Source organism: Homo sapiens, chromosome 12 (assembly GCF_000001405.40).
Source record: "Homo sapiens chromosome 12, GRCh38.p14 Primary Assembly".
NCBI classification, from domain to species: domain Eukaryota; kingdom Metazoa; phylum Chordata; class Mammalia; order Primates; family Hominidae; genus Homo; species Homo sapiens.
In genome coordinates this window covers 132,617,512-132,634,828 of record NC_000012.12, presented here as the reverse complement: position 1 = coordinate 132,634,828, position 17,317 = coordinate 132,617,512, and the positions used below count along the sequence as shown (strand labels likewise).

Here is a 17,317-nt window from a genome sequence, read left to right as displayed (position 1 = left end):
TGGCAGTGGGTGTCGGTGTCTACACAGACGTGGATGGTGCCGTGGCACGAACACAGGCTGCGCGGGAGGCTGGGTCTGTGATGGGGTCGTGCCGTCCCAGGAGATTCATGGACTCAGAGGAGAGAACAGTCACCGGGAAGCTCTGGCTGGTTCTTTCGTCCTTGGGGGGTGGGAGTTCAACAATTAAAGTGAACTCTGGAAGAGCAGAGTGAAGCTCACAGTCCCAGGTCACGAGCACTTCTGTGTGCCAGGCGCTTCCCACAAAGCACTTTGTACTGGGAGCCACCCTGGGGGATTCACGCAGGCTCCAGGGGATGCCTTGACTGCGAGGAAGGCCTCTGGTCAAACGGGGCAGATGGACCCAGGTTGGAGGAGCCTTCGCTGTGGCATCCTACCCCTCTACCAGGCCGCGATGGTGCAAACACAGCCGCGTTGTCTCATGTGTTACAGCAAGACTCCCAGAAAGCAGGGGGAGCAGAGGATGAGCAGGAAAATGAGGACGATGAGGAGGAAAGAGATGGGGAGGAGGAGGAAGAGGCGGAGGAATCCAACGTGGAGGATTTACTGGAAAACAACTGGAACATTTTGCAGTTTTTGCCACAGGCAGCCTCCTGCCAGAACTACTTCCTCATGATTGTTTCAGGTAAGCCCAGAGCCCAGGGCTGCGCAGCCCCCACTGAAGGGACTCATGGTTAGTAGATGTGGCTCCTGTGCCATGGTATCGCAAGAAGGGAGACAGGGAAAATCAGATCGGGCGGAGCCTGCCCAGCAGTTGGGACTTTGTGAGCCGAGGGGCCTCCTCTCCAGGCTCCAGGCATGTTCCACTGGAGGGCCCGGAGAGGGGTGACTGTCTTCCCTCCAGCCTTTGCTCTCAGGAAACTCCATGGGGAGCGGCTGCCCCTGGCCGTGTCATTGAGGAGTTTCCTAGCTCTGCTCCCGCCATCTGATTCGGTAACTCAGTCACATACATTCCCAGGGAACATTTGTGTGTGTGCACGTTCAGTAGCTGAAGATAAAGCCCTGGGTCAGGTCAGCTGCCCCCTGGCTGGTCTGTGAGGCCTAACTTTCTGGTGGGGGAGTTCCTATGCCTTGGTTTGGGTCTGCAGGCTTAGAGTTTGCAAATCAAGCTATGCAGGTTAGTGTGCAGATGAAGTGTATCGAGGAAGCACTGTTTGTAGTTGACAGCCCTAAGTTAAAGAATGCCCTAAGTAAAAACAGCAGGTTGTGATGTGCACACACAGGTGGATGCGGTCACAGAGGCCTTCGTTGATGATCATTTTATATTTTTGTCTACTTGTCCTTGAGTCTTTAACTTTCTCAGTTCTCTCTTGCAACTTTCTATGTCTCTTTTGAAAAGTTCCGGGTTGGCCGGGCGCAGTGGCTCATGCCTGTAATCCCAGCACTTTAGGGGGCTGAGGCGGGTGGATCACGTGAGGTCAAGAGTTTGAGACCAGCCTGGCCAACATGGTGAAACCCCATCTCTACTAAAAATACAAAAAGTAGCCAGGTGTGGTGCGCACACCTTTAATACCAGCTACTCAGGAAGCTGAGGCAGGAGAATCACTTGAACCCAGGAGGCGGAGGTTGCAGTGAGCTGAGATTGCGCCATTGCACTACAGTCTGGGCAACAAGAATGAAACTGTGTCTCAAAAAAAAAAAAAAAAAAGGGTAAGTGCCAGGTGACAGGCCCGGAGTAGTTTTTGGAGAAGCTTGCTGATGCCAGGGGCCCTGCCTTTGCTTGTGTTGGGAGCTGTCTTTCACGCGCTACCCAGTGAGAGGCTTAGTGTACATGGCCCCATTTATACAGTTTTCTCTCTGACAATGAACTCAGGTGTCAGCGAGTGTTCCTTCTCATTTCCACTTCTCACTTCTCTAATTTACTTTTAGCTCATCTAAAGGCTGCAGATAAAATTATTAACAATGACATTTTAGCCTCATCTGTGAGGCAATCTGACCAGCCATGGGTCCCCTCAGATTCTAGGGTGTTTGCAGCAGCCCGACTCAGGGCCTGTGGTGTGTGTGCCTCTCCACAGCGTACATCGTGGCCGTGTACCACTGCATGAAGGACGGGCTGAGGCGCAGTGCTCCAGGGAGCACCCCCGTGAGGAGGAGGGGGGCCAGCCAGCTCTCCCAGGAGGCCGAGGGGGCGGTCGGAGCCCTTCCCGGTGAGCAGTCTTTTGTCTTTTGAGGCCACTGCCATGTGCCAGTGACCTAACTCCTCTGTGTGCCATGGGTGGTCCCCGGTGCCAGTCCCCCAGGTGGGAGGTCCCCAGTGCCAGACAGGTCCCAGACCCCTCCCTCAGCATCCTTATACTTCCAGGAATGATCACCTTCTCTCAGGATTATGTCGCAAATGAGCTCACTCAGAGCTTCTTCACCATCACTCAGAAGATTCAGAAGAAAGTCACAGGCTCTCGGAACTCCACTGAGCTCTCAGAGATGTTTCCTGTCCTCCCCGGTTCCCACTTGCTGCTCAATAACCCTGCCCTGGAGTTCATCAAATACGTGTGCAAGGTGAGAGTGCCAGCGTGCGTGTGAGGAGAGGACACTAACGTACATGTGTAAGGCGAGAATGTTACTGTGTGCAAGGTGAGGCTGTAATGCGTGCACCATGAACGTGCTAGCGTATGTGTGCAAGATAAGGACACCGACATACCTGTGCATGGTAAGGATGTTAATGAATGCAGGATGAGGCTTTCAGCTGTGCAAGGGGGAGGTACCTACATGTGTAGGGTCAGGGTGCCAGCGTGTGCAAGGTGAGGAGCAGGTGTAAGTTACTTGTTCATTCCACCAACATTTATCATGTCCCTGTCACATGCAGCCACAGTTGCGGCATCTGTGCTCAGGTGTGAGCAAGACAGGAAAGGTCCTGCCTTGTGGGGCCTGTCTGCTGCCAGCCGACCCGAGAAGGGAGAGGGCCGTTCAGAGGCGCAGGTGCTGTGGGGATGGAGCCTGTGAGGGGCGCTGGGACCAGGTGCAGGAGGAGGGAAGACGCAAAGGCCCTGGGGGGTGAGCTTGGTGTGTTGGTGAAGGCACAGCCGAACACCCAGTGCCACCGGCTGGGAGGATGGGTCACCGGAGACCAGTAGGCTGGACCAGGACCCAGAGCTGATGAGATGAGAGCTTGCTCGGATGCTGAGGCCTTTCTGGGAAAGGCAGGCTGAGTCCAAGGAGGGATAATATTACCAGATAACGACCGCGGGTGTCAGCCCTTACAGAGCAGAGTGCTTCACTGTCCATTTCCTCACTCAGCCTTCCCAGCAAACTGCATCTCACACACGGCTAAGGTTACGCTGGAGATCAGGTGACAGCCTCAAGGTCTGGTTGTGGTGAAGAAGTGTTTTTAGCTCACCATTTTAATTCCTTTATTGACTTTTACATATTTTAAATTCATTTTTATTAAGGTGTAATTTATATACAGTAAAATGTACTCTGTGGCGTGCAGTTCTGTGATTTTTCCTAGGTGAATGGAATTGCATCATCATCAGCAGGATACAGGATAGTCACCGCCCGAAAACATTCCCCGCACTGCCCTCCTCACCTGACACCCTTTAGCCACTGGTGTGTCTTCCGTCCCTGCATTTTTTTTCTCTTCTAGAGCGTCACATAAGTAGAGACATTGTGCAGCCTTTTGGATGTGGCTTCTTAGCAAAACACACCTGGAATTGGTTCATCCACGCGCTCGTGTGTATCAGAACTCCCTTTCTGTTGCGAGCAGTGTCCATTGTGTGGGCAAACCACAGCTTGCTTTTCATTCACTGGTGGAAGGACATTTGCGTTGCTTTCACTTTGGGGTGATTAATAACAAAGCTGCTGTAAACATTCTGTAGGTGTAGGTTTTTGTGTGAACATAAATTTCAATTCTCTGAGGTCATTTTTTAAGTGTTTGTTTAACTTGATAAGAAACTGCCAAACTCTTTTCTGAAGTGGCTGCACCGTGTCAGGGTCTCCTCAGCAGTGTGTGGCAAGAGTTGCTGTTCCACATCCTCACCAGGACTTGGTATCATTGGGTTTTTAAATTGCAGCTATTCCAGTAGGTGTGTAGTGGTATCGCATTGTGTTTCTGATTTGCATTTCCCTGGCGACTAATGATGTGGAGCTTTTTTTTGGAGATGGAGATTCACTCTCATTGCCCAGGCTGGGGTGCAGTGGCGCGATCTCAGCTCACTGCAACCTCTGCCTCCTGGTTAGCTGGGATTACAGGTGCCTGCCACCACGCCCCCCCAATTTTTTGTATTTTTAGTGGAGACGGAGTTTCACCATGTTGGCCAGGCTGGTCTCGAACTCCTGACCTCAAGTGATCCACCTGCTTCGGCCTCCCAAAGTGCTGGGATTACAGGCGTGAGCCACCACGCCTGGCTGTGGGGCATTTTTTAATGGGCTTCTTTGCTGTCCTGGTGTCTGTCCTCTTTGGTGAAGTTTTAGGTTTTATCCATTTGAGTTAATTTTTATACAATGTGCATGCTGTAGATCCAAGTCCATATTTCTGCATGGGATATCTGATTGCAGGCATATCCTGTCTTATTGTGCTTCGAAGCGGTTACCTGTATTTTTATAAATGGAAGGTTTGTGGGAATCTTGTCTTGAGCAAGTCTCATCTTTCCAACAGCATGTGCTCACTGTGTCTGTGTCACATGTTGGTAACTCTCAGGATATTTCAGACTTTTCCACTATTATTATATCAGCCGTGATAACCTTTGATGCTTCTATGGCAATTGTTTTGGGGCGCCATGAACCGTGCGCATAGAAGACAATGAGCTTCATCAATGTTGTGTGTGTCCTGATTGCTCCACTCACGGGCCATTCTGCCATCTCGCCCTTTCTCCTTGGGCCTCCCCAGTCCCGGTGACACAACACTATAGAAATTAGGTAAGTTAATAGCCCTGCAATGGCCTCTACGTGTTCAAGTGAAAGGAAGAGTCACACGTCTCTCACTTTACATAAAGAGCTAGAAATGGCTAAACTTAGGAAGGCATGTTGAAAGTCGAGACAGGCTGAAAGCTAGGCCTCTCACACCAGTTAGCCAAGTCAACTGCAAAGGAAAGGTTCTTGAAGGAAATTACAAGTGCTCCTCCAGTGAACACATGAAAGATAAAGAAGTGAAGCATCCTGTTGCTGATATGGAGAAAGTTGAGTCTGGATAGATCAAACCAGATATAACATCCCCTCAAGCCAGAGCCTAATCCAGAGCAAGGCTCTCACTCTGTTCAGTTCCATGAAGGCTGAGAGCTGAGGAGGCTGTAGAAGGAAAGCTTGAAGCTGGCGGAGGTTGGTTCATGGGGTTTAGGGAGAGAAGCCGTCCCAGTAACATAAAAGGGCAAATGAGGCAACAGGTGCGGGTGGAGAGGCTGCAGCGAGTTCTCCAGAAGATCTGTCTGGGATCATTGGCGAAGGTGGCTACACTGACAACATATTTTCCGTGTAGACAAAACAGCCTTCTTTTGGAAGAAGATGCCATCTAGGACTTTCATAGCTAGAGAGGAGGCCTCAGAGCCTGGCTTCAGAGGAAAGGCTGACTCTTGTTAGCGGCAGATGCAGCTGGTGACTTTAAGTCGAAGCCACTGCTCATTCAGTCTTTTAAGGCCACTACCTGCAGCTCAGAAAAAGATTCCTTCCAAAATAGTACTGCTCATTGACAGTGGACCTGGTCACCCAAGAGCTCTGATGGAGACGTACAAGGAGATGAATGTTGCTTTCATGCCTGCGGACACAGCATCCCTTCTGCAGCCCATGGATCAAGGAGCAATTTCGACTTTCAACGTTTATTATTTAAAAATATATTTCATGAGGCTATAGCTGCCATAGATAGTGATTCCCCTGATGGAACTGGGCACAGTAAATTGAAAACCTTCTAGAAAGGATTCACCATTCTGGATGCCATTAAGAACATTTGTGACTCATGGGAGAAGGGGTCAAAATATCAACATTAACAGGAGTGTGGAAGAAGTTGATTCTGACCCTCATGGATGACTTTGAGGGATTCAAGACTATTGTGGGAGGCGTGACTGCAGATGTGGTGGAAACAGCAAGGGAACTAGAATTAGAAGTGGAGCCTGAAGATGTGACCAAGTTGCTGCAATCTCAGGACAAAATTTAACAGATAAAGAGTGGCTTTTCATGGATGAGCAGTAAAGTAGTTTTTTGTTTTGTTTTGTTTTGTTTTGTTTTGTTTTGTTTTGTTTTGAGATGGAGCCTCCTTGCTCTGTCGCCCAGGCTGGAATACAGTGGTGCGGTCTTGGCTCGCTGCAACCTCCGCCTCCTGGGTTCAAGTGATTTTCCTACATCAGCCTCCCAAGTAGCTGGGATTACAGGTGCCCGCCACAATGCTCAGCTAATTTTTGTATTTTTAATAGAGACAGAGTTTCACCATATTGGTCAGGCTGGTCTCAAACTCCTGACCTCAGGTGATCCACCCGCCTTGGCCTCCCAAAGTGCTGGGATTACAGGCACAAGCCACCACGCCCAGCCCAAAAAAGTAGTTTTTTTTTTAAGATGGAGTCTCGCACTCTCGCCCAGGCTGGAGTGCAGTGGCGCGATCTTGGCTCACTGCAAGCTCCCTCCCAGGTTCACGCCATTCTCCTGCCTCAGCCTCCCGAGTAGCTGGGACTACAGGCAAGCGCCACCACACCTGGCTAATTTTCGTATTTTTAGTAGAGACAGGGTTTCACCATGTTAGCCAGGATGGTCTCGATCTCCTGACCTTGTGATCTGCCCACCTCGGCCTCCCAAAGTGCTGGGATTACAGGCGTGAGCCACCGCACCTGGCCAAAAAGTAGTTTCTTGAGATGAAAGTGAACATTGTGGAAATGACAAAGGATTGAGAATATTCCATAAACTTAGTTGCCAAAGCAGCAGCAGAATTTGAGAGGACCGACTCCAATTTTGAAAGAAGTTCTACTGTGGGTGAAATGTTATCAAACAGCATCACATGCTACAGAGTCTTTCATGGAAGGAAGAGTCAGTTGATGCAGCAAACTTCATTGTTGTCTTGTTTTAAGAAATTGCCACAGCCACCCCAACTCTCAGCAATACCACCCTGATCAGTCAGCAGCCGTTTACATTGAGGCAAGACCCTCCACCAGCAAAACGATTGCGACTCACTGAAGGCTCAGATGATCGTTAATATTTCTGAGCAATAAAACATTTTAAAATTAAGGTACATACATTGTTTTTTAGACATAATGCTGTTATGCACTTAATAGACTACAGTATAGGGTAAACCTAAGTTTTGTCTGGGTAGAGTGACTCACACCTGTAATCCCAGCACTTTGGGAGGTCAGGGTGGGTTGACTGTTTGAGCCCAGCAGTTCAAGACCAGCCTGGGCAACATGGCAAAACCCATCTTTACAACGATTACAAACATTACCTGGGCATGGTGGCGCATGCCTGTCGTCCCAGCTACTGGGAAGGCTGAGGTAGAAGGATCAATTGAGCCCCAAGAGGTCAATGCTGCAGTGAGCCATGATTGTGCCACTGCAGTCCATTCTGGGTGACAGAGTGAAATCCTGTCCCAAAATAAAAAAAATCACATAGCTTTTTTTTTTTTTGAGATGGAGTCTCACTCTGTCACTCAGGCTGGAGTGCAGTGGTGCAATCTTGGCTAACTGCAACCTCCACCTCCTGGGTTCAAGCGATTCCCTGCTTCAGCCTCCCAGGTAGCTGGGATCACAGGTGCACCCGCCACCATGCCCAGCCAATTTTTGTATTTTTAATAGAAATGGGGTTTCACTGTGTTGGCCAGGATGGTCTTGAACTCCTGACCTCAGGCCATCCACCTGCCTTGGCCTACCAAAGTGCTGGGATTACAGGCGTGAGCCACCACAAATCACGTAACTTTTATATGTACTGAGAAAACAAGCGTGAGCCAAAAATCATGTAACTTTTATATGCACTGAGAAACCAAATAATTTGTGTGATTTGCTTTATTGTGATGTTAGTCCATTGAGGTGGTTTGAAACCGAACTTGCCATATCTCCAAGATACGCTTGTATTCAAGAACCATTTGTTGAAAAGACTATTCTTTTTCTATCGAATCATCTTTGTACCTTTTTCCATAACTTAGTAACCTTATCTATGTGAGTCTCTTTCTGGATTATGTATTCTTTTTTTCGATCTTGCATTCAATTTGCTAATATCTCGTTGCGCATTTTTGTGTCTGTGCTCAGGCTGTTATTGGTCTGTAGTTTCTTAGTACGGTCTTTGGTTCTAGTATCAGGGGATGCTGGCCTCATAGAATGGGTTGAGTGCTCTCTCTCTTCAGTGTTTTGAAAGATACTGTGTAGAATCAGCAGCATTTCTTCCTTAAATGTTTAGTAAATTCCCCAGGGAAGCCTGTCCTCACCGATGGAAAACTGCTAATGTAGAGAAGTCAGCTGAGGCGTCTAAAGGGACTAAGGAAGGGAGGAAAGGACACCAGGAAACTGTAGCCTAAGGTCCAGAGGGTTCTGGTCCAGACAGAGCAGCAGGGAGGCCCCGGGAGCTCCTTCCCGATGTGGGCTGTGGTCTCTGCAGGTGCTGTCCCTGGACACCAACATCACAAACCAGGTGAATAAGCTGAACCGAGACCTGCTTCGCCTGGTGGATGTCGGCGAGTTCTCCGAGGAGGCCCAGTTCCGAGACCCCTGCCGCTCCTACGTGCTTCCTGAGGTCATCTGCCGCAGCTGTAACTTCTGCCGCGACCTGGACCTGTGTAAAGACTCTTCCTTCTCAGAGGTGCGGCTGAGCTCCAGCGGGCCCTTCACTGTGGAGCAGAACATCCGAGGGCACTGCGGTGTCTTGAGGGCTTCTGCAGCTCCAGCTCTGTGGGTCACACCTGCTGCCCCTCTGACTCACATGGATTGGCAACAGGCCCCTTCCCAGGCCTCCCCACACCATGTTCGGAATGTTGTCCTAGGAAGGGCTCAAGTGCAGGTGGGAGGCCAGAGTGCGTGCAGCTGCACTCAGGAGACTCGCCCGTCACCAGGCGCTTCTCACAGCCCCTTCCTCTCCTGAGATCCTGCCCATGGCACTGTGGTCTGGAGGCTGGGCTGGTGACCTCTCGCACTCTTGCTCTGCCTAGGATGGGGCGGTCCTGCCTCAGTGGCTCTGCTCCAACTGTCAGGCGCCCTACGACTCCTCTGCCATCGAGATGACGCTGGTGGAAGTTCTACAGAAGAAGCTGATGGCCTTCACCCTGCAGGACCTGGTGAGTCGTGCATGCCGCCTGCCCGTGTGCCCTGGAGTCCACAGGGGGGTTTCTGTGCACTCCCGGGAGCCGGGGTGTGTGCAGGTCCTGAGGCACGCCCTGGTGTCTTCCAAGGGGCCTGCCCTGCAGACCAGTCCATGCCCTGAGCCTGATGGACTGTTCTGTCCACACTGGTTGAGCACCTGCCTTGGGTCAAGAGCTGGCCTTGTGGGTGCTTCGTTCTAGCGGAAGGAGGCAGACACTCCCAAGTGTGAAGAGAAGGAAAGGAGGAAGAGGGAGTTGCACAGCTCGGCCACAGGAAGGTCTTGCCGAGGGGCATCTGAGCAGAGGCTGGGGGACGCGCCAAGCTGCCGTGTGGTGGTGCACGGCGTTCAGGCCTGCAGGATGGAGGGAGTGAGCAGGGCCTGGAGGAGGCCTCAGGACTGGGCATCTGGGGTGGAACATCCACAGCGAGGGTGGGTGTAGGGAAGGCGCTGGCACCGTGGGATGAGGTCGTGCATTTTACTCATAACCGAGGGCTGGCTGCACACAGCAGGGGCTCGAGGCTTACTGATGGGCCCACGAATGTGTCTCGCGAGCCTGTGAAGAAGCAGCAGGCAGGTCTGGCCAGCGCGGGAGGGCTGGCGCCCATCGGGGCTGCTCCCTTTCAGGTCTGCCTGAAGTGCCGCGGGGTGAAGGAGACCAGCATGCCTGTGTACTGCAGCTGCGCGGGAGACTTCGCCCTCACCATCCACACCCAGGTGGGCTCTCCCTCATCTGCCTCGGCTCAGCCTGGCCTCCTTGGCCTCCTCTCTGAGTGGACTGGGGTCTCACTGTGCCTGTTTATTCCTGCAGGTCTTCATGGAACAGATCGGAATATTCCGGAACATTGCCCAGCACTACGGCATGTCGTACCTCCTGGAGACCCTGGAGTGGCTGCTGCAGAAGAACCCACAGCTGGGCCATTAGCCAGCCCCGGGCCCCGGGTGCCTCTGCGTCCGTGCCAGGCCTCCTGATGCCAAGGCCACATCCCCGTGCTTCCAGTGACCAGACCACTGACCACCCTGACTGTCCAAACCTGTGACCCCAGGCCAGGGAACGGGGAGGAAACCAAAGAAAACCATTTTCAGGGAGCTCAGACGTCACAGGAGGGAGCGGGAGCAGGATGTGGCCCTGGCCTCGCCAGAGCACCTGAAGAAGCAGGCCGTGAGCGAGGCTGCGAGTGCCCTGGGCGCCGTTTCTCACGCAGTGAATGCTTTTCCAGGCCTCTGTTGCTTCCTGCACCACACCTGGTGGGGTGGGAGCGTCCTCTAGGTGCCCCTAGTTCTTTGTCCTGCCTCCCAGAGGGAGGAAAAGCCCCTGGGGGCTTCTGGCTCCCTGAGATTGGGCTCTGAGACGAGACGGGTTCCCAAGGCCCTGGTGGGGCTGGAGTCTCACCTGTTTGCATGGAGAAATGGGCTGGCCCCACAGCCTCACAGGAGCAGTTTGTGGGCTGGTTTCCCCAGGAATCCAGACCCTAACCCGTGAGAATCTGGATTTTGGCTTGTGAGCCCTGCTTATTTGGAGCCGGGTCTAGAGGGAACCCTCTATCAGCCTCAGGAAAACAAGACCTCTGTGCACCTCACTTTTGGCTCACTGCAGCCCTTGTCCTTCACCTCCACACAGGACCAGCTGGAAGCAGAAAGAAGAAAGGCCAATTTCACAGGGCACCAAACAAGTATGAAATGTAAATCAGAAATGCAGACACCCCAGACGAGAGCCTCACAGGAGGGAGGGGGCCCCACAGGCTCCCCAGGAGGCTCGTGTCTTTGGCCCAGAGCCAGCCTTAGTTTGTCCCTGCCATCTACTGTCTGAGGCCATCGCTGCTACACTTTGTTTTTATTTGTATTTCATACTGAAGTTTCTCTAGGTTGTCACTGTGTATTTGTGCAGAGCGCCTCAGATCGGGGACTGGGTACCACTGGGCACGTGTTTGGCCCCTGGATGCTGCTGGGGCCGCCTGCCTGGAGAAACCTGATGCCTGCTCAGATGGAGGAGTGCTGAGGCCTCCAGAGTGGAGATCAAATCAAATTAGGGCAAGCAGGGGAGGAGGGAGGCTGGCTGACTAGGCTTCATTCCTGGAAGCGAATCTGGAGAACCCTCAGGAATGAGGAGTGATGGGGCCAGGGGACAGCCGCTCGTCCCCCAGGAAGGCCACCTAGCAGGACCAGGGGTCGCCCGGTGCAGCCGTGGGCGCCAGTCAGCCTGGGTTCACTGTGAGGCTAGCTGCGGGCATTTGAGTAGTGGTGGAGGGGTCAGAAACGGGAAGCTCTGGCCCTGGTTCCCAAGCAGCGGCTCAACCAGAAGAGCCAGTTTCTCCAAAAATGAGCTGGATATTTGTGAGCCACACAGCATGTGCAGGCCGTGGGGTGACCTGAGGCCGATGCCCGAGGCTGGGAGGCCACAGTCAAGGGAAATGGGGCCCACGGAAGACATGTTCTCGCCACCTGAACACAGCGCTGGGATGAGGACTCTGGAGTTGTGCTGAGACCTCCAAACTCAGGCTTTAGGGTCAGACCAGGGTCGTCTTACCCGCCCTTCTCCGCTCTTTGACCTTTGGGCGTGGTGTTGCTCTCCTGAGACTGGGTTTCCCTTCAGAGGCAGGATGTCATCTGTCACTGGCACAGGTGACATCATGACGCTGTTCTGGGCTCCTCCCCCCACCCAGTGGGCACCAGTCTAACCACTGCAGCATCTGAGGATGCAGTAACCAGATTACCCCCAGGCCCTGATGCAGTTAGTGCTGGCTCCCGGGCTGGTGTCCTTCCACCCCCGCCTGGCCTGACTTCCCATCTCGGCATTCCTGCCCCCTCCCATGGAGTAGGAATGAACACTGGTCTGAGCACTGCTGTAGTCTGAGCTTTCGTTTTCCTTGTGTGCAGCTGTCCCGGCCTCCCTCCTATTTCTCTCTTCCTGAGTCATGCTGTCCTCCCACATTTTGAGATGAGCCAGCTTTGGTTTGGAGTCTGGGGTGGCCCTGTCAGAAGCAAGTGCACTGAGGAGGTGGCCTGGGTCCCAGTGCACTCCCAGCCTGGGCAGACCTGACCGTGGCCTGGCTGGCTGTGGGGACCATGTGTCATGGGGCAGGCAGACATGTGCCCTGCACACCTCGCAGGCTGCTTAGAGGGGAGATGACCCAGACAGAGGTCACCGTGCAGCCCAGCTCCAGGCCGACAGGGCCTGACATCCCATATTGACAGGCTCACGATGCTCCTCCCCAAGGAACGAGGCCAGAAGGTTCTGCTCACAGGTTTATTGGACTGAGTATGTTGTGACTTCTAAGGGAAGAGTCTGGGCAGATTCAAGGTTACAACGCCTGTGGGGTGGGGTGGGGTGGGGTTCCCAGGGCCCAAGACCGGGAGCAGAGCCCCTCAGAGCTCAGCTGGCTTGGGTTCCAGGTGGCTGTGAGAGGTGATGGGAAGTGAGCAGCCCTGTAGGGACCAGCTGGGGAGGAGGTGTCAGGGGCTGTATGCCAGGGTGGGGCACAAGCCTGGGGCCAGAGCGTGCCCCCAGCCCTTGCACAGGGATCCTGTGGTGCCCCGTTTCGTGGAGATGCTCCGCTACTGAGGTGCCCACGTCCACGTGCAGGTCCCTAGCTGGGGACTCTCTGGCCCCACCAGGCCGGGTCTGCAGTCCAGTGAGATGGAAAGGAGCTCAGAGTTGAGCCAAACCTTTGGGGTCTGTGGGTGTGGAGGCTTGGGCAGGCTCGGAGGCAGGAGTGTCCACCATCTGCTCAGAAGGGGCAGAGATGGGGCAAGGCCGCAGGGGCGGGAAGGCTGGGCCACACTCTGCCCCTTGTTGGCCCTCCTGGCCTGATGGAGGGCTGGGGTGCTGGTCCTCGGAGCGGTGGCCGGGTTCGGGAGGGGCCTGGCCCAATACACGGGCAAGGGTCACAGGCCAGCTACCTGAGGGGTGGCTCGGCGTACACACCTTGTCAAATTTCTTATGGCTGTAGACCTTGTTTTTGTTCATGAATGTTAGCAAGATCCAGTCGCACAGGAAGGAGCCCTGGGGCCAGCAGAGACCGGTGTGTAAGGGCCTGGTGGACCCCCCGCACCCGCTGGGACCCCAGAGAGGGTTCCTTACCACCCCGACGGAAGTCAGAGCTGTGGCCAGATTAATAATGGTGGGAATCAGGCTGAACTTCCCGGCCTGGGGAGAATGGGGGTCGTGGTCAGAATGTCTGACGGCGTCTGATGGGGCTTAAGGGAGGGGTGGGGCGTGAGGAGCTCAGACCCAGGCTAGCAGGGCTGGCCACCCACCCCCAGCAGGTGCAGGCACCTGTCCATGCACAATGACGTCAATGCGGATCCCGTAGGCCTTGATGAGCGTGCGGGTGGTGGTGCCATTGATCTTGTAGTATTTGGCAAACCTGCAATGGGAACGCCAGTGCCCACTCGTCCTCTGCACTCCAGGGCTGCCCCACAGGCATTGGGCCTCTCGGGACCCCACCACAGCTATGCCAGTGTGGACAGCGGTGTCCCAAGTACAGCACCTGAAGTTGTAGCCTGACGAGGCAGGCACGTGCTTGGGGTCAAGCCTCCGGAAGGAGTACTTGGGGTTGCACTCCGATGCAGGCAGGTCCAGGTCACAGTCCCAGTTGATAATGACCCCGATGACACCACCCTGCCAAGAAGGAGCCAGAGAAGGGGGTCAGGAGGGCACACGAGAGGCCCCTCGAGAGCCCGGGTCAGTCCCAGGCCAGGGAAGGGGGTCACAAGGGCACACGAGAGGCCCCTCGAGAGCCCGGGTCAGTCCCAGGCTGCATGTGAGGTGTGCACTGAGGGGCCCATGGGGCAGCTCAGGGGTACTGGTGGGCGTCCAGTGTCTGAGGCACAAGGGGTGCCAGCAGCCAGCCCCATGGCCAGTGTCAATAATTCAGCAAGCGCCACACCGGATGGGTTGCGCTGATCGCATTTCTTTTCCTCTGCCTGAGCGGGGCCAGCTGGTCAGGAGGGAGGAGGGACTGGTCCCCTGTACCCCAGGCCCTCTCTGTGCAGGTGGGAGCCCACCCTGGCCCCACCCTGCCTGCGCTTGCCCTGCCTTGTGTGCGAGCTCTGTGAAGCTCTCCCCAGCCTTCTCCACGATAAAGCCCAGCTTGAAGATGGGGCAGTAGAGGTCGGAGGCCTCGTGGAACGTGCAGCGCTTCAGGTACCCGTCTGTGCGGTCGGCGATGTTGCCCCTGAGGAGGCGGCAGGAGGCGAGACCTGCACCCCAAATACCCCATTCCCAGAAGGCAGCCCTCAGGCTGGGCCGTCACCACACCCCGCGGCTCTTACTTGGAGAAGTGGAATTTGGGGTAGTGGATGCTGTTCTTGATGAGGATGGTGAAATTTGGGGCCATCGTACCCAGAAATTGGCTGAGGAGGCACAGAAGGGTTGTTTAGTCCCCTCTTCCCGCAAAGCCCCCGCCTGGCATTGGCCCCCACCCCTCCCCAGATCTTGTCACTCCTGCCCCGCCCGTTTGGCCTCTGGTCAGGGGAAAAGGATCAGAGGGGAGGCTGGGCCCCAGGCCGGGGCGCAGGTGCACCTGACAGAGGCCCCATCTTCCACCGGGCACCAGCCGAACACCTCGCAGGTCTTGGAGGGCCCCTGGTAATAGGGCACACAGCGCCCAGTCCTCAGGCCTGGGAGGCAGAGGTCACTGAGGCATTAGCGGGGACGCAGCCCTGCCCCACCCGCCCAGCCCCAGCTGGCGCACACCGACCGTTTCCCAGCATGTCCAGCTCCCCAGCCACGCAGTCGGCGTCGGAGAGGCAGGTGGCGTTGTGGACCCTTATGCTCTAGGGTGGAGGCGGCCCAGTCAGGGACCCCGCAAGGGACAGCTGGCCCGCCTAGCTGAGGCGGGGTCCCCCAGCGCCGCGGGATCCCCTCACCTCGGGGCAGGTTCCCTGGGTCTGGGAGTGGGTGGCCTCGACCCTGGTGATGATGCTGAACACGCTGCCCCCCTGGGCTCAGAAAGAGGGGGCGGTCGGCCAGGCGGCAGCCGCTGCCCCCTCCGCCCACTAGGGTAGGGTGCACGGCGGGGCGGGGGGCAGGGGGCGGCCCGCACCTCGGGGGGCTTCACGTACTCCTCCACGTCCCACACTTTGTGCTCGGACGTGGTGATCCCCTTGACCTTGGTGATGATGGAGCTCTCGGGGCCCGTCTCGCTCTCCTGGTAGCTTTTCTGCACGATGAATACGTACCTGCGGGCAGGGGCGGCGCCGGCTCCGGAGGCGACCCTGGGAAGGCTGAGTCCCGCCCGCAGGCACGGCAGGGGCCCTCCCGCGACCCGGGTCCGCTCTGCGGGGCTCTTGGGGCCTGCCCCGCGCCCTCGGTCCCAGCCCCAGCCCCTGCCCCGCGCCCCCGGTCCCAGCCCCAGCCCCTGCCCCGCGCCCCTGGTCCCAGCCCCAGCCCCGCGCCTCCAGCCCAGCACCCCGAGTCCCAGCCCCTGCCCCACGCCCCCAGTCCCAGCCCCTGCCCCGCGCCCCCAATCCCAGCCCCTGCCCCGCGCCCCCGGTCCCAGCCCCAGCCCCTGCCCCGCGCCCCCGGTCCCAGCCCCAGCCCCAGCCCCGCGCCTCCAGCCCAGCGCCCCCAATCCCAGCCCCTCCCCTGCGCCCCGCACCCCGCGCCCCGCACCCCGCGCCCCGCGCACCACACGAAGTAGAGCAGGATGAGCAGCTGCACGGCGCGGTACAGGACCCCCAGGCGCCGGTTCCTCACCACGATCACCTTGGGCGTCTCGTAGTCCCAGAGGGCGGACCAGCAGCCCCGGGCCAGGCGCCGGGCGGTCGCCCCGGCGGGGTACTTGGGCTGGGCGGCGGCCATGGCGCGGGCGGCCCCCACCTCCAGGAAGGCGCTGCAGGGCTGAGGGTCGGCCCCGCTGCGCACCGAGAGCGGGGGGCGCGCGGCGGGCGGGTAGCTCGCGGCTCCGCCTCCGGGGTGCGGCCTCGAGCCCGCCCCGCCTCGCCCCGGCCCCGCCCCGCCCCGCAGGTGTCCCGGGAGTCCCGGGTGTCCCAGGTGGGGCTGGGAGCGGGGCCTCGCGGGGACAGAGCCGGGGGCGCGGCAGCCCAGCCCCAGCTCTTGGTCCAGGTGGGGGCCGAGCGCGGAACCGGCGGTCTCGAAGTTGGAGGGTCGGGATTCCCCGGGTGGGAACTTTTTCCGAGCTCGAGGAGAAAGACATGGGAAGTCCCGCCGGCCTCCGCGGCGCCCCCCACCCCGTCCAGGCCGGTTCCTGCCGCGGCTGCCGGGGCTTCGAGCGCAACCTGCACTCCCGCCTTTGCCAGCAGACGCCTCGCTTCCAGCTCCTGCCTCCGCCGCAGCTCCAGCCCTCGAGCTGGAGAGGGATCCACGGCCGATCCGTTTTCTTCTTTGCAAGCCAGAGTTTTCTTTCTTTCTTTCTTTCTTTTTTTTTTTTTTTGGTAACTTTTCGAACCTCCACCCCACCCACATTATTTTGAAGCAAATCCCAAGCATCACAGTTTTTCACAAAATAATTTTAAAATAGTTTATTATGATAAAATCAGCATAGCATGTAATTAACTATTTTAAAGTAAACAATTCAGTGACATTCACAACATTGTGCAACCACCACCGCCTCTGTTTCGTCCCCAAACACTTTCCCCACCCCAAAATAAAACTCCCATCCATTAAGCAGTCACGACCCGTTCCACACTCCTCCCATGCCCTGGCAACCACTGGTCGCTTTTCTGTCTCAGTGAATGGACTTGCCTGTTCTGGATATTTCATATCAAGGAAATGCAATATTTGTTTCTGGGTTAATGCCTTTTCTGTCTGGCTTCATTCACTGAGCATGTTTTCAAGGTTCATCCACATTGTAGCATGTGTCAGGGCATCACCCCTTCTTATGGCCAGGAGAAATGTCTAGGCTATCCAAAGAAGGAATTTAGATTGCTTTCAAACTAACTCTGTGAATAGTGCTGTTATAAACACTGGTGCATAAGTATTTGTTTGAACTGTTAAATTAACTCAATTAACAGGCTGCCTCTGTGCCTTGAGTTTCTAGGTAACAACAAACTGCAACCTAATGTACCACAGAAACAAGCTAAAAGCTTAACCTATGAGTATATTTTGGAACAAATAGCTGGGTCTCAGCCAGTCACAGGCTGCTAA

General features: G+C 55.8%; 2 protein-coding genes across 17 annotated transcripts in view; one reads left to right on the top strand and one right to left on the bottom strand.

Annotated features, from left to right (window-relative positions):
* The window catches only part of POLE (DNA polymerase epsilon, catalytic subunit), a 63,581-nt gene extending 52,514 nt beyond the window's left edge, over window positions 1-11,067 (top strand). For 2 of the 4 annotated variants that reach the window (XM_011534795.4, XM_011534797.4), the window contains 6 exons: window positions 451-643; window positions 2,034-2,165; window positions 2,321-2,514; window positions 8,512-8,712; window positions 9,059-9,184; window positions 9,410-9,812. In XM_011534795.4, the coding sequence (XP_011533097.1) occupies window positions 451-643; window positions 2,034-2,165; window positions 2,321-2,514; window positions 8,512-8,712; window positions 9,059-9,184; window positions 9,410-9,649 (1,086 nt within the window). In that variant the 3' untranslated portion in view covers window positions 9,650-9,812. Of the gene's footprint in view, window positions 1-450; window positions 644-2,033; window positions 2,166-2,320; window positions 2,515-8,511; window positions 8,713-9,058; window positions 9,185-9,409; window positions 9,814-9,834; window positions 9,925-10,018 lie in introns of those variants that run through there. The other 2 variants (NM_006231.4, XM_011534802.4) reach the window with 2 other exon arrangements.
* On the bottom strand, window positions 12,441-16,053 carry P2RX2 (purinergic receptor P2X 2). Of its 13 annotated transcripts, none has more exons than NM_174873.3 (12): window positions 15,840-16,053; window positions 15,255-15,390; window positions 15,079-15,150; window positions 14,910-14,985; window positions 14,733-14,829; window positions 14,482-14,562; window positions 14,246-14,384; window positions 13,698-13,828; window positions 13,484-13,574; window positions 13,289-13,354; window positions 13,133-13,210; window positions 12,441-12,931 (listed from the first exon to the last, which is right to left on the bottom strand). In NM_174873.3, the coding sequence occupies exons 1-12, from the start codon at window positions 16,010-16,012 to the stop codon at window positions 12,857-12,859; spliced, it is 1,215 nt and encodes a 404-aa protein (NP_777362.1). In that variant the 5' UTR covers window positions 16,013-16,053; the 3' UTR covers window positions 12,441-12,856. The 13 variants fall into 13 exon arrangements, with proteins under 13 accessions (NP_777362.1, XP_016874524.1, XP_005266213.1 ...); XM_017019035.3 differs by having other exon boundaries at window positions 12,441-12,829; XM_005266156.6 differs by having other exon boundaries at window positions 13,133-13,354.

Coding starts and splice junctions, on each gene's coding strand:
- P2RX2 (XM_005266154.5), bottom strand. CDS start 16,012: ATGGCCGCCGCCCAGCCCAAGTACCCCGCCGGGGCGACCGCCCGGCGC. Junction 14,563..14,732: donor GAAGATGGGGCCTCTGTCAG/GTGCACCTGCGC, acceptor GTGCCTCCTCAG/CCAATTTCTGGGTACGATGG. Junction 13,211..13,288: donor CTCTGACTTCCGTCGGGGTG/GTAAGGAACCCT, acceptor TGCTGGCCCCAG/GGCTCCTTCCTGTGCGACTG.